We start from the raw sequence: 14,930 nt of genomic DNA, 5'->3' as shown, positions 1-14,930 counted from the left end.
TCTCAAACATGCTTTCTTTACTATTCCTTTGCACCCTTCATCCCAGCCTCCCTTTGCTTTCACTTAGACTGACCCTGACACCCATTAGGCTCAGCAAATTACCTGGGCTGTACTGCTGCAAGGCTTCACAGACAGCCCCCATTACTTCAGTCAAGCCCAAATTTCTTCCTCATCTGTTATCTGTCTTGGCGTAATTCTTATAAAAACACACGCGCTCTCCCTGCCGATCGTGTCTGACTGATCTCTCAAACCCCAACACCTTCTACAACCTAGGCATGGTTAGATACTTTCAACTTTAGATACCTGGTTTTGCCATCCTAACAAAATCATTATATAAACTCACAAAAAGAAACCTAGCTGACCCCACAGATCCTAAATCCTTTCCCCACTCCTTTTTCTGTTCCTTGAAGACAGCTTTAGAGACTGCCCCCACCTGAGCTCTCCCTGACTCATCCCAACCCTTTGCATTACACACAGCCAAAGTGCAGGGCTGTGCAGTTGGAATTCTTACACAAGGACCAGGATCGCGTCCTGTAGCCTTTTTGCCCAAACAACTTGACCTTACTGTTTTAGGCTGGCCATCATGTCTCTGTGCAGTGGCTACTGACCCTAATACTTTCAGAGGCCCTTAAAATCACAAACTATGCTCAACTCACTCTCTACAGCTCTCATAATTTCCAAAATCTATTTTCTTCCTCACACCTGATGCATATACTTTCTGCTCCCCGGCTCCTTCATCTCTCTGATCCAGCTGATGTTCACCTCATTTCCCCACATTTCCTTCTTCCCTGTTTCTCACCCTGATCACACTTAGTTTATTGATGGCAGTTCCACCAGGCCTACTCGCCACACACCAGCAAAGACAGGCTATGCTATAGTACAAGCCACTAGCCTGCCTTTTAGAACCTCTCATTTCCTTTCCATCGTAGAAATCTATCCTCAAGGAAATAACTTCTCAGCGTTCCATCTGCTAGTCTACTACTCCTCAAGGATTATTCAGGCCCCCTCCCTTCCCTACACATCAAGCTCAAGGATTTGCCCCCACCCAGGACTGACAAATTAGCTTTACTCAACATGCCCCGAGTCAAGAAACTAAAATACCTCTTAGTCTAAGTAGACACTTTCACTGAATAAGTAAAGGCCTTTCCTACAAGGTCTGAGAAAGCCACTGCGGTCATTTCTTCCCTTCTGTCAGACATAATTCCTCAGTTTGGACTTCCCACCTCTATACAGTCCGATAGCAGACCCACCTTTATTAGCCAAATCAGCCAAGCATTTTTTCAGGCTCTTAGTATTCAGTGAAACCTTTATATCCCTTACAGTCCTCAGTCTTCAGAAAAAGTAGAACAGACTAATAGTCTTAAAAACACACCTCACCAAGCTCAGCCACCAACTTAAAAAGGACTGGACAATACTTTTACCACTTTCCCTTCTCAGAAGTCAGACCTGTCCTCAGAATACTACAAGGTGCAGCCCATTTGAGCTCCTGTAGAGACACTCCTTTTTATTAGGCCCCAGTCTTATTCCAGACACCAGACCAACTTAGACCGTGCCCCCAAAAAACTTGTCATCCCTACTATCTTCTGTCTAGTCATACTCCTATTCACCGTTCTCAACTACTCATACATGCCCTGCTCTTGTTTACACTGCCGGTTTACACTGTTTCTCCAAGCCATCACAGCTGATATCTCCTGGTGCTATCCCCAAACTGCCACTCTTAACTCTTGAAGTAAATAAAGAATCTTTGCTGACCGGACTATGCTGAATCTCCTTAGGCACTCTCTAATCAGATGTCCTAGGTCCTCCCAATTCTTAGACCTTTTATACCCGTTTTTCTCCTTCTCTTATTCCATTTAGTTTTTCAATTCATACAAAACCATATCCAGGCCGTCACCAATAATTCTACACGACAAATGTTTCTTCTAACAACCCCACAATATCACCCCTTACCACAAAATCTTCCTTCAGCTTAATTTCTCCCATTCTAGGTTCCCACGCTGCCCCTAATCCCACTTGAAGCAGCCCTAAGAAACATCACCCATTATCTCTCCATGCCATCCCCAAAAAATTTTCACCATCCCAACACTTTACCACTCTTTCGTTTTATTTTTCTTATTAATATAAGAAGACAGAGGCCGGGCACGGTGGCTCACGCCTGTAATCCCAGCACTCTGGGAGGCCGAGGCGGGCGGATCACGAGGTCCGGAGATCGAGACCATCCTGGCTAACACGGTGAAACCCCGTTTCTACTGAAAATACAAAAAATTAGCTGGGCGCCGTGGCGGGCGCCTATAGTCCCAGCTACTTGGGAGGCTGAGGCAGGAGAATGGCGTGAACCCGGGAGGCGGAGCTTGCAGTGAGCCAAGATAGCGCCACTGCACTCCAGCCTGGGCGAAAGAGCGAGACTCCGTCTCAAAAAAAAAAAAAAAAAAAAGACAGGAATGTCAGGCCTCTAAGCCCCAGCTAAGCCATCATATCCCCTGTGACCTGCACGTACACATCCAGATGGCCGGTTCCTGCCTTAACTGATGACATTCCACCACAAAAGAAGTGAAAATGGCCTGTTCCTGCCTTAACTGATGACATTGTCTTGTGAAATTCCTTCTCCTGGCTCATCCTGGCTCAAAAGCTCCCCCACTGAGTACCTTGTGACCCCCACTCCTGCCCGCCAGAGAACAACCCCCCTTTGACTGTAATTTTCCTTTACCTACCCAAATCTTATAAAAAGGCCCCACTCCTATCTCCCTTCGCTGACTCTCTTTTCGGACTCAGCTCGCCTGCACCCAGGTGAAATAAACAGCTTTATTGCTCACACAAAGCCTGTTTAGTGGTCTCTTTACATGGACGCAAGTGAAACTAAGTAGAAGAGCTGAGACTCAAAACCAGGTGGCGGCTTGAGGCCAGCCTCCTGGCCACGCAATGCCTCTTAGTAGTAGAGTTCAGTCTATTAGATCTACCTTATTAAATCTGGTATTTCTTGCCGCCACAGGGTTTGTTTTATTATTTATTTATTTATTTACCATAACAACACTTTTATTTATTTATTTATTTATTTATTTATTTATTTTTGAGACAGAGTCTTGCTGTGTCACCCAGGCTGGGGTGCAGTGGCACAATCTTGGCTCACTGCAACCTCCGCCTCCCAGGTTCAAGTGATTCTCCTTCCTCAGCCTCCTGAGTAGCTGGGATTACAGGTGTCCACCAGTATGCCCAGCTAGTTTTTGTATTTTTAGTAGAGACAGGGTTTCACCATGTTGGCTGGGCTAGTCTCGAACTCCTGACCTCAAGTGGTTGGCCTGCCTCGGCCTCCCAAAGTGTTGAGATTACAGGTGTGAGCCACTGTGCCTGGCCTTTTTTTTTTTTGAGACCGAGTCTCGTTCTATTGCCCTGGCTGGAGTGCAGTGGTATAATCTTGCCTCACTGCAACCTCTGCCTCCCAAGTTCAAGTGATTCTCCTGCCTCAGCCTCCCAAGTAGCTGGGATTACAGGTACCCGCCACCACACTTGGCTCATTTTTTGTATTTTTAGTAGAGATAGGGTTTCACCATGTTGGTCAGGCTGGTCTTGAATTCCTGACCTCAGGTGAAATGCCGACCTTGGCATCTCAAAGTACTGGGATTACAGGTGTAAGCCACTGTGCCTGGCCCCATACCTACACTTTAATTTTAAGGCTGCTTGTTTTAAAACAGGCAGTTCCTTAAGAATAGTAACAATGATGACATTTAGTGACGTTTATCCTGGGCTGTCACCCCCAGACCTCGCCACACCACATCTCATTGAACCTTACAACATTGCTGGGAGAGGGAGCATTGGTGAGGGAGAAGAGCTGGCCACTCCCGGTCTGAGCTGGTAGCCCTTTGCTAAGAATCTACCGAGTAAATGAATGAATGGTGAATGAACCAGAATGAAACATACAGCTCAGAGTGCCAGGAGCCCAGAGGTGTATGTGTACGTGGGCGTCAACCCTTCCTGGCGAGTAGGACCCCTGGGATGGCCTGCAGTGACTCAGGTGGTGGGGACTCCTCCCTGGGGTTCCTGGCTGGAGCTCACTGGGCCTGGTCAGAGTGAAGGGCACCGGGGCGGGGGTATGTGGACCAGGGGCGGGGAGCAGAGGCTCAGGGAACAGGGGCATATGATGCATGGGTGGCAGACCAAGGGGCATACCTGGCTCCCCTGAGAAGATGCCCTCTTGCCCTGCCCGTGCCTACTGCGGGGCAGGTGCTTTCACAGTCCGACTGACTGGGCTGGGAAGCCCAACCAAAAGTGAAAGCTGAAGGGGAATCCAGGAATCTGAAACCCTGGGGCGGAGGCATCTTTTGCTTTCCTGCTTGCAAGGAACTCAGGCCCCTGAGAGACGCTAGTGGGCCTTTGATCGCTGCTGTTTACTCATTCACTCAGCAAACACAAAATAAGCCTTCACTCAGAAGCCGCTGGAAAGTGCTGGAAGCAGCCCTCAGGGAGTCGCGCTAGAGGAAGCAGGACCCGGGCAGGAGTGGGGGCTGCAGGGATCCCACTGTGAGTGGGTGCATGGGCAAGCCTGCATCAGAAGGATGTCTTCTGAGCTGGGGGGCTTGGGGTGGATAGTGAGGAAGGCTGCAGGGAGAGGAAACAGCAGGGGCAAGGGCTGCGGGGGAGGGTGGGAGGGGGTGAGGTGACAGTCTTGCTGTGGAGGGAACATGGCACTGGGCTGGGCTCTGCACAGTTGTGTACCCCGTCCCATGCATGATGATGCATGGATTAAGATTTCATCCTGGGCAGGCGCGGTGGCTCACTCCTGTAATCCCAGCACTTTGGGAGGCCGAGGTGGGTGGATCATGAGGTCAGGAGATCGAGACCATCCTGGCTAACATGGTGAAAACCCGTCTCTACTAAAAATACAAAAAATTAGCCGGGTGTGGTGGCGGATGCCTGTAGTCCCAGCTACTCGGGAGGCTGAGGCAGGAGAATGCTGTGAACCCGGGAGGCGGAGCTTGTAGTGAGCTGAGATCACGCCACTGCACTCCAGCCTGGGCGACTGAGCGAGACTCCACCTCAAAAAAAAAAAAGATTTCATCCTGAGGGACATGGGGACATTGTAGCTGGGGTTCTCCAGCCAGAAACTGATTTGGAAGTAGTAAAACATTGCCCAGACTCCCATGATGACCAGGTTTTCATTTCAATAATGAAACATCAATAGGCACAAATATATAGCCAGATGTGGAATAGAAGCCCATGTGTCTAGCCCTTGGAAACTATAAATCGCCAATAAAATTGCAAATTGGGGAGAGAGAAGCCTACAAAACTCGTAGAATTCAGATTAATAACATATTTAACGTCAGGTATGATTACTATTTTTTCCTTTCTTTTCTTTCCTCTGTTTTTTGAGACAGGGTCTTGCTCTGCTGCCCAGGCTGGAGTGCAGTGGCGCAACGATGGCTCACTATAGCCCTGAACTCCTGGGCTCTAGTGATCCTCCTGCCTCCCAAGTAGCTGGAACTACAGGAATATACCACTGTGGCCAGCTAATTTATTTTATTTTTTTTAAATTTTATTTTGAGAAAGAGTTTTGTTCTGTTGCCCAGGCTGGAGTGCAGTGGCGTGTTCTCAGCTCACTGCAACCTCCCCATCCCAGGTTCAAGCAATTCTTCTGCCCCAACCTCCTGATTAGCTGGGTCTACAGGCATGTACCAACACACCTAGCTAATTTTGTATTTTTAGTAGAGATGGGATTTCACCATGTTGGCCAGGCTGTTCTTGAACTAGTGACCTCATGTGATCTGCACGCCTTGGCCTCCCAAAATGCTCAGATTACAGGCATGAGCCACCACACCGGCCTAATTTATTTATTATTATTATTATATTTTAGAGATGGAGTCTTGCTTTGCAGCCCAGGCTTTTGAACTCTTGGCTTCAAGAGATCTCCCACCTCAGCCTCCCAAAGTGCTGAGATTACAGGCGTGAACGACTGTGCCGGGCTCAGCATTTTTAATTCATTCCAAACAGAAGTGCATTCTGTTTAATCATTAAACAGTATGTATGATGCTGTTTTGCTGAAACAAAATTGTAGCTTCATGTCTACAGACTGTCATCAAGGAGGCGTGGGAGTTTGGAAGGCCTTGTACTTGCCATGTGCCTGGGGGTGACTCAAATGGTCCACGATATTCTTTTTCTATTTGAGCCACACCTCAAAAACTTAAATCATATGTCATTTGGCTTTCCATGAGGACCCCATTCATGCATTGAATTGGCCTCTGTTCCTTGGTGACCATTACTGGGGTTGGCATCCATGATTCTTGCCACGGGGTCTCAACTTAGTAAATGATTCAAGAAACTAAGAGCTTCTTTGATGGAAGTATCTTTCAATTGCAAATTTCCCTGTAAAAGAGAAGTCTTGCCTTTATCTCAGCAGACACTGGGGGACGGGTCACTCTGGCATGAGCACATGCTACCCCACGTCATGTTTGCCTGTCTGATTCCAAATGCAATTCACACAGGATTTGTGTGGCTAGAAAGCAGTCAGCAAGATGACTCAGATTAATTATCACGGGAATAAAAATATAAAACAAAAAAATATGGACAGAGTTCGTGGCTTCTAAGAAGAGTCAGGGGACTGTGTTATGACTCAGTTTATTTCTGGCTGCTGATGGGAGATGGGCTGGATGGGTGGAAGGCGGGGCAGAGGCGGAAGATGAATTGCGAGGTCACTCACTGTGGTTGTCCAGTGGAAAGGGCTGAGGCCCCACTGGGAGTGGGGGTGGCGGCAGGTAGCAGAAGAGGTGGATGGGAGAGACACTTGTGAGTTACAAAGTATAGGACCTGGTGCTTACTTTTATTTTTTTTTGAGACAGGGTCTTGCTCTGTTACCCAGGCTGGATTGCAGTGGTGTGATCATGGCTCACCGCAGCCTCATCCTCCTGGGCTCAAGCAATCCTCTTGCCTCAGTCTCCCGAGTAGCTGGGAGCACAGGTGTACACAACCACATCCAGCTACATTTTTTTTATTTTTATTTTTTTTAGAGATGAGGTTTCCCTATGTTGGCGAGGCTGGCCTCAAACTCCTGGGTTCAAGTAATCCTCCCACCTCAGCCTCCCAAAGTGCAGGGATTACAGATGAGAGCCACTGCACCTGGCCTAGCGCCCAGTTTTAATTGAGGGAAGAGTGACAGTGGGGAGAGGAAGGAGGGTTTGTGGCTTGGGCTACTGACTAGATGGTGGTGTCAGGCACGGAACGGGGCGCAGGTTGCAGGGAGGCTGAATTTGGGGTGTGGCTTGCATGACTCTGACAGTGCCCATGTGCTAATCCCTGGGATCTGTGAATATGTTCCCCTACCTGGCAAAGAAATTCTGCAGATGTGTTTAAATTGATGTTGAGATGGGAAGAGGATCCTGGGTTATCCAGGTGGCCCAGTGTAGTCACTAGAGTTTTTGTAAGAGGGAGGCAGGAGAATCAGTCAGAGAGATGGGAAGATGCTCATCTGTGGGCCTGAAGATGGAGGGAGGGGCCATGAGTTAAAGAATGCAGGCAGCCTCTAGAAGATGCAAAAGGCAAGACACGGATTCTCTTCTAGGTCTTCCGGGAGGAACCAGCTTGCTGACACCTGATTTGTAGACCAGGGAGAGACATTTTGGACCTCTGACCTCCAGAACCATAAGATAAACTTGTGCCGCTTAAGGCGGTAAGTACGTGGTAGTTTGCTATAGCAGCCACTGTGAGGCTGCCCCTAGGCAGTTGGGGTCTGGGGCAAGAGAAAGATCTGGGCTAGAGATACCTGGCAGGTACCAGGGACCTAGGATGGGTGAGGCTAAGAAAGGGCTGTGCTCCCTAGAGGAGGGGTGAGGCTGAGGCTGGGGGAGGGTGTGAGGGACCTGAGAGGAGGACAGCGGAGAGGGAGAAGAGCTCCTGGAGAGAATGGTCACGGAAGGTGTCAGAGGCCCTAGAGATTCAGGTAGAACAAAAATGCTGCAGCAGCCTGTGACTTCAGCAAGAATAGTTTGTGTGGGGTGTGGTCTCAGGAGCACCAGGGAGTGAGTCCTGGAGAGGGGTGGCTGTGAGAATCTGGGAGCGAGTGTGAGTGTGGCGTGGAGGGGGCACTGTGTAACAGAAGGCAGAAGGGCAGGCAGCTGGGAGGCTGCGGGAACCTGAAGACCAGAGGGTTGACCCTTTGTTCCAGGAAACGCTTGATCAAATTCCCCTGAAGTCTCCCGCAAAGCACAGACGTTTGGACTTGTCTTCCCTCTTCTGTCTTAGGGGAAAAAGGAGTCAGAGAGCAAGAGACGGCTGTTACCTCCAGCTTTCAAGTAAGCCCAAGATTTGTGCGTACCTTTTCCAGAAACACAAATTCTACCTGATTGTAAAAAAAATGAACATAGAATTTGTTTTTTCAAGTTGCTTTAAGAAATCCATGTCCAAGGCCGGGCGCGGTGGCTCACGCCTATGTAATCCCAGCACTTTGGGAGGCCGAGGCAGGTGGATCACCTGAGGTCAGGAGTTCCAGATCAGCCGGGCCAAGATGGTAAAACCCTGTCTCTACTAAAACTACAAAAAACTAGCCAGGCTTGGTAGTGCACATCTGTAGTCGCAGCTACTTGGGAGGCTGAGGCAGGAGAATCCTTTCAACCTGGGAGGTGGAAGTCGCAGTGAGCCGAGATCATGCCACTGTACTCCAGCCTGGGCAACAGAGTGAGACTCCATCTCAAAAAAAAAAAAAAAAAAGAATACTTTCCCACGCACCCCAAGAAAATCTCTTCCCCAAAGCCAAGCTGCTCACACTTAGGGACAGTGAGGGGCGATGTGTCTATTCTCTATAGAACTCACCCTGACCTGCGCCTTGAGAGCAGGCATGCGCCGGGTCGGGGGTGTACAGTGTGTAGGTCAGGCCACGCTGTTTTGGGATAGCAACCAGCTCAGCGCCACGGCAGCACCCCAAGCTAGTGATGAACTGGTTAAAGCTTGTTTCTGCTAGGTTTCTGAGGCCAACAGGGCAGGGCTACACTTCTGTCCCATTCACTCCTATGGCCTTTGCTCCTAGCAAGGAGTCTGGCACCTGGAAGCGTCAGGTGAAGGTGTGGAGGGGCTTAAAGGCCGGGGTCCACGGCTTACTGGGGACAGTGTCCTGCGGCCTTGGCTAAGATCCCACCTATGGGACGGCACACTGGACTTTCCCAAGGTCATAGCTGGTGAACTGGGACAGAGAATAGCCACTTGGCTTTGATTCTGATACTGTTGGTGGTGCAGGCAAATTCTAAGAGCGGCAAAAGCTACCCTAGCAGACCACTGTTTGCTAAGGGCAGACACTGCTCATGAGCAGCTAGCGAGCTGTCAGGAAATCCAGCCACCCCTCCCAGGTTGGAGCCCTTGACAGGGATCCTCAAACTGGCTGTACTGGGAATATCCAGCATATCCAAAATGAAAGAACCACCAACAGGAATAGAAAATTTTTTGTAGTATGGAAGTTGTAAAGCTGTGTTTTAATAGGATTACCTTAGGAATAAGAGGACTGCTTTTTAAAGATACGAGATCCCGCTGCCTTGGCAATTCTGTTATCAGAAAGATAGTGATTTTGATACAAAACAGTAAGAAACTGTAGAATTGCAGGACCCATAATCCTCACAAGGAAGATTTAGAGAGTGCTGTGTGTCAATCACTCATCAGCACCTCACAGATATTATCTCAATTCGTCCTGGCAACCATCACTGCCCCTACTTAGCAGTCTCAGAGAGGAGACTCAACTCACACAGGGGCCAAGAGCTGGACCACGGCCAACCAGGTCTCCCCACCCCCACCCCAGCCATGCCTCTCCCCACCACAGCACCCCGCCTGACCCTAGTGTCCAGGTCTGTCCCGGTGGCCTCCAAGGAAATGGGACAAAACATCCTTTCTGCCAACTGCAGGGGCAGCAGAACGCCACAGTGGTTGAGCATGGGCTCTGGTGAAGGATGGCGGGGGTTCAAATCCCAGTTCTCCACCTCTCTGCTTCGCTCCGATTCCTGGGCCTCTGAGCTGGTCTCCTCCGCTGTGGAGTAACAGTGTGACTGCTCATCTGCACAGATTCCTTCTGTGCTGGACACGGTTCCAACTTTCCAACTACTCCCGCAGGAGCTCATTTAGTGGAGACAAGATCTTGCTCAGTGTCATAGTGAGGAAGAAATGGAAATATCTGTGCAGGGCCCAAGCCCGGCCTGGTGCGGGAGAGGCATTAATAAACGCAGCTTGAGTTCAGAAGCAGGTGGTCTGTGGCTCACTCAGCCTGGCTTCCTGCTGGGTCTTCACAGTGCTGGGCTACCTTCCTGGAGAGAACCAAAGTCCAGGCTGTGTAGATGCCTGTGGTCCACCAGCGCAAAGCAGCGGCCCATCAGGACGCTTCGGAGGTAGATGCGTCTGAGTTCCATGACATCGGGGACATGGCCCCACTCCTGTTCTGGAGGTCACGGGCCTGCTGAACCTCTTGTACCAGGTCAGCCACCAGGTTCATCTGGCAGGACCTGAGAGCCCCCACCAGGTGGGCCACTGTTGCGTTCTCCTTCTCTGTGTTCTTCCAGATTCTCAGTGACTCCCGCACACGCTCTGTCAGGTTGCGGGGGTATCTGTCCTCGATGCTGTCGATCTTGGTGTCTGAGACTTTGAGCTGACGAGCCAGCCTTCTCCAATCTTTCCCCACATTATCACATATGACGTTAAATGCTGCACACAGGTCTGGGAAGGAAAGAACAGAACGGTTTACCATAGGTTTGGAGACAAGCGACCCCACAATCCTCCCTAGGGCTTTTCAGCACAGACGCCAAGTGCTGAGTGGACAGAGGTGCCTACACGAGGTCCTCTGTAGAGGCTAGAGTCGCCTGGCAGCAAAGGGGCTGCACCAAATGCCCAAGAGTGGCCTGATTCCACCTCAGCCAAACCCCCTGCTCTCTAATACTGTCCTAGGAGGCGTGGCCCACTGAAGACTCAAGTGCCAAAGGAAGTTGTAGTGGAGCTACCTACTTAGAGCAGGAGACACTGAGGGAGGGGCTGGGGAGTTGTGGGAGGGAAGAAAATAGGGTTGATCCCACATCCTGCCCTACAGCAGGCTGAACGATGTCACCCCAAGGTATGTTCACGTGAAATTGCTGAAACCATGAATGTTCTTTGGAAAAAGCATCTTTGCAAAGGTAAGCTGAGGGTCTTGAGAGGAGATCATCCTGGATGACCTGGATGCACCAATGATAGGTATCCTTGCAGGAGACACACAGGGAAGGCCGTGTGAGCCTGGAGTGAAGCGGCCACAAGTCAAAGAATGCCTGGAGCCACCACAAAGCGGACGAGACCCGGAAGGAGCCTCCCCAACAGCATTCCGAGGGTGTGCCGGTCTGTGGCACCCTGCTTATTCAGATTTCTGGCCTCCAGATTGAGGGGGTAGATTTCTATTGCTTCAGGCCACCAGATTTGTGATCATTTGTTATGGCAATCACAGGAAACTAGTAGGCACTCCAATTGTTATTTAGAAAGCTGCCCCGAGTGACCACCAGTCTTCAGTCCCTGGCTACCATACTCCTCATCTGCTGACGTCACCACTGAGATCAGGGAGCTGGTCACAAGACCATAAAAGGCCGCTTCTGGAATGTGAAGAGAGGAAAGGAGAGGCAGGACAGGGTGCTGCTTGGACTACTGGCAATTCTGAGACACCGTTGGCAGGTGTACCAGCTCCCGCAGCTCTGACAGCCCTGTGGGCTGGGCACTGTGTTACCATGACTGTACAGATGAGGAAATTGAGGCACAGGGAAGCTAATGGACATTCCTGAGATCGTGTAGCTAGACGATGGCAGAGCCATGTTCTGAAACCCTAAGAGTGTGGTGCCAGAGTCGACCCTTAACCGCTATGCTGAACTTCTGGGGAGGAAGGCAGAGTCGCCCGCTACCAACCTGTCCATACCCACCGCTCACCTTCTGGTGTACTTTTCCCAGCACACAGTAACTACATGACGATATAAATAAAACCAAGCACACATACATCTCAAATGTCAGCTATGTTTCGTAGACCGCCTTTAAAATGCAATTTATCAGTGTTTTTCCAGACATTAAATATCCATAAAACCCGATTTTTCTACGTCCTGTTTTGTTTGTTCAGTACTGATTTTTTTTAAAATCTGGACTTGACTGCTCTCAGGCAGAGAGCTGTTCTGTCCATCCTGTCCCCAACAGGCACCAGTCTTTACAGAGTGAAACCCATGGTGACACATTTAGGCCCTATCTGATTGGTGACTGAATGGCTGATTCCAAGCTACAGCTTGAAGCCTCTGAGAGGCGTCCCCAGAGCACTCCCAAGCCTCTCCCGACTCTGAGAACAAGGGGGGTAGGGCTGAGAAACTCTGCTGTACTCAGGGTTTCTTTTTTATCCTGGAAGCTGCTGCAATCCACAGGCGAGGGTGGAGAGGGAGTGACCGAGAGCAGGACAGGAAGCCACTCCACAATGAACTTGACCAGAGAGGCAGTGTAGTGGCTAACACTACCCATCCGGAGGCCGGACTGCTTGGCTCAAGCCTAGCTCCGTCAGTTATCGGCTGCGCATTTCGACAAAGCCACTTAACCTGTGAGCCACAGTCCTGTCCTCTGTAAAATGGGAACAGTGATAGCTAACAGTATCTAAGCCACAGGGCTACTGCGAAAATTGTATTTGGCAGTTACAAGGGTAAGCGGCACACTGTAAGCCCCTGGGTAGGAGTTACTGAATGCTAGTATTACTCTCAGACAGCCGTGAAAAGCATATTCCGAGACAGAAAGGAAATGATGCGAGGCAGGCTCACCCAACCTCTGCCCCTCCCCCACACCTTCTCTGACTCATCTTTTCTTCAGTGAGTTTTCTAATTTACCCGGGCAGAAGTGGGTGGAGGAAAAAGGACTGTGCGTGTCCACGCCCTGCAACCTCGAATAAGTTAACTTTTCTGCGTTTCTGGCTCTCCCATCTGCAAAACCAGGGCTGTACGGAGAAAACCCACGCAAATCAAACCCGGCAAAGGGGAGGCGCCTGGAGGCCAACCGGAGGAGCCTCGCAGCACCTACAGCCGGGCGACCAGGCCCTGGCTCCCCCGGCCCGGCCCCGCGCCCACCTTCTTCCCCAGGCGCGGCCCCGGCCGCCGCCCCCGCCTCGAAGTCGTCGACGCGCCGCAGCAGGTCGTGGCGCCGCAGGGAGGCGAGCAGCTCGCGCAGGAGCTCGGTGTGCCCGGGCTCCAGGTCGTTCTGCTCCAGCAGCATGGAGAAGAGGTCTAGGCCGCTCTGCACGCGCTCCAGCTTGCGCTTGCCCACGCGCCCGAGGCATAGGAACTTGAGCTCGGTCAGCTCGCTGCTCGACAGGCTGGACGACACCGAGTGCAGCAGCACCAGGAACGGGTCCATGGCGGGGTCTGCAAGCGGCCGGGGCTGCGGCCCGGCCCTCCGTGCGCCCTCTGTCCTCGGCTCGCTGGCCCTGGCCAGGTCTCGCCGCTTGCCCAGCGGCCCAAGGATTCCACCCCCGAACCTGCACTCCGGTGCCTGATTCACTACAGGAAATCGACAAGAGCGCGTTTTCGACCGTTATCTCGCGAAAACTAAGGGACCCGCGCATGCGTCCCTAGCGAAGCCGCAGCCGTTTCCGCCCTGGCTGGCGGCGCCGCGGACGGGCGCGGCTTCTGCGCCTGCGCCCGGCGTATCGTCTCTTTTCCGGGTGGGAGGTGGGGCCTTGGGTGTCCTGAGAGCCTGCAGGTGGCCCAGCTCTCTGCGGTGAGGGCGGTCGCGCCTCTGCCGAGTCCACCTGTTTGCAAAGCGCGGTGCGGCCCTACTGTGTGCAGGGCCGGGGCGGGGAGGGCGCAGCCCGAACGTCACGTGCCCTCACATCTGTTGGTGACCAAGGTTACTTATGCATTAACGTTTAGGGACAAACGTGGAAAATGCATTCTTTGGTGCCCCTGGAGACATCTTGTGTGTGCAGAAAACACTACTCAGAAGTTTATGTGCGTTTAAACATGTGATTTAAATAATACATGATTTCCAAAGTAGCAGTCGTTTATTCAATCAACAGTATTGAGCGCCTACTGTGCCAGGTAGTAGGGTCTGGGGACAAATTAGTGAGCGAAGCGCGAGGGTCCCCGCGTGCCCGGAGTTTACATCATAATTACAAAAGCGACACGCTCCAGAAGAGAAGGTCGTGGCGGCCGTGGTGGCTCAGCCTGCAATGCCCGCACTTTGGGAGGCTGAGGCAGGATTGATTGAGACAAGGGGTTCGAGACCAGCCTGGGTAACATAGTGAGACCCCGTCTCTATTAAAAAATAAAAATAAGGAAAAATAAGGAAATCGTATAGTATGCCAGAAATTCAGAAGAGCCAGGGGAAAGGGAGTCTCTTCACGGGGTGGGCGTGTGGAGGGTGGGGGGCCCGGTGGTCTGATGGGGCCTCTGTAAAGGCGCAGGTGAAGGCTGGGAGGGGCCGGGTACCTAGGTGTGGGGGGAAGAGCTGGGCACACGGAGAACAGAAGAGCAGAGCACAGGGGACGGCTGGGGTTCCAGGAGCAGCAATGCCGTGGGTCTGGAGGTGAGGAGGGGGTGCAGATTAGGAGAGCCCTCACCAGCCAACAAGGACCCAGCTTTACCACAGGGTGGGGCAGGGGCTGATGCCAGCTGAGTTTGTTTTCTTGAGATATAATTCACATACCATTCAATTCACCCTTTTAAAGTTATACTTCAGTGGTTTTTAGTGTAGTCACAAGGTTGTGCAACCCTTACTGCTGTCTAACTTTAGGACATTTTCATCACCCCAAGAAGAAACCCATTAGCATGTACTCCTCCCCTCCCCCACCAACCACGAATCTACTTTTTTTTTCTTTCTTTCTTTTTTTTTTTTTTTTTGCTGTTTTGAGACAGAGTCTCGCTCTATGGCCAGGCTGGAGTGCAGTGGTGCGATCTGGGCTCACTGCAACCTTTACCTCCCGGGTTCAAACAATTCTCCTG

At 51.1% G+C, this 14,930-nt stretch overlaps 1 protein-coding gene and 1 long non-coding RNA gene across 2 annotated transcripts, besides 5 other annotated features; one reads left to right on the top strand and one right to left on the bottom strand.

Moving 5' to 3' along the window:
• Nucleotides 1,578-2,385: an enhancer, noted in NCBI's record as "OCT4-NANOG-H3K27ac-H3K4me1 hESC enhancer chr11:70060525-70061332 (GRCh37/hg19 assembly coordinates)". NCBI's record gives its function as "activates a minimal SCP1, AML or CMV promoter by ChIP-STARR-seq in primed H9 embryonic stem cells {active_cell/tissue: H9 hESC(primed)}" and the evidence as "EXISTENCE:reporter gene assay evidence [ECO:0000049][PMID:30033119]".
• Nucleotides 2,386-3,195: an enhancer, noted in NCBI's record as "OCT4-NANOG-H3K27ac-H3K4me1 hESC enhancer chr11:70059715-70060524 (GRCh37/hg19 assembly coordinates)". NCBI's record gives its function as "activates a minimal SCP1, AML or CMV promoter by ChIP-STARR-seq in primed H9 embryonic stem cells {active_cell/tissue: H9 hESC(primed)}" and the evidence as "EXISTENCE:reporter gene assay evidence [ECO:0000049][PMID:30033119]".
• Nucleotides 3,196-4,005: an enhancer, noted in NCBI's record as "H3K27ac-H3K4me1 hESC enhancer chr11:70058905-70059714 (GRCh37/hg19 assembly coordinates)". NCBI's record gives its function as "activates a minimal SCP1, AML or CMV promoter by ChIP-STARR-seq in naive H9 embryonic stem cells {active_cell/tissue: H9 hESC(naive)}" and the evidence as "EXISTENCE:reporter gene assay evidence [ECO:0000049][PMID:30033119]".
• On the top strand, nt 4,332-8,294 carry LOC124902705 (uncharacterized). Its single transcript, XR_007062761.1, has 3 exons — nt 4,332-4,515; nt 7,547-7,654; nt 8,227-8,294. It is a non-coding gene; the product is annotated as an uncharacterized LOC124902705 (long non-coding RNA).
• On the bottom strand, nt 9,414-13,508 carry FADD (Fas associated via death domain). Its single transcript, NM_003824.4, has 2 exons — nt 13,059-13,508; nt 9,414-10,671 (listed from the first exon to the last, which is right to left on the bottom strand). The coding sequence occupies exons 1-2, from the start codon at nt 13,342-13,344 to the stop codon at nt 10,331-10,333; spliced, it is 627 nt and encodes a 208-aa protein (NP_003815.1). The 5' UTR covers nt 13,345-13,508; the 3' UTR covers nt 9,414-10,330.
• Nucleotides 12,778-12,969: a silencer, noted in NCBI's record as "fragment chr11:70049941-70050132 (GRCh37/hg19 assembly coordinates)". NCBI's record gives its function as "represses an EF-1alpha promoter that drives an FKBP-Casp9 reporter gene in an ReSE screen in K562 erythroleukemia cells {active_cell/tissue: K562}" and the evidence as "EXISTENCE:reporter gene assay evidence [ECO:0000049][PMID:32094911]".
• Nucleotides 13,019-13,098: a silencer, noted in NCBI's record as "silent region_3699". NCBI's record gives its function as "represses an Ori minimal core promoter by ATAC-STARR-seq in GM12878 lymphoblastoid cells {active_cell/tissue: GM12878}" and the evidence as "EXISTENCE:reporter gene assay evidence [ECO:0000049][PMID:35858748]".

This window comes from Homo sapiens, chromosome 11 (assembly GCF_000001405.40).
Source record: "Homo sapiens chromosome 11, GRCh38.p14 Primary Assembly".
Taxonomy (NCBI): Eukaryota; Metazoa; Chordata; class Mammalia; order Primates; family Hominidae; genus Homo; species Homo sapiens.
This window is presented reverse-complemented; position numbering and strand designations above follow the sequence as displayed.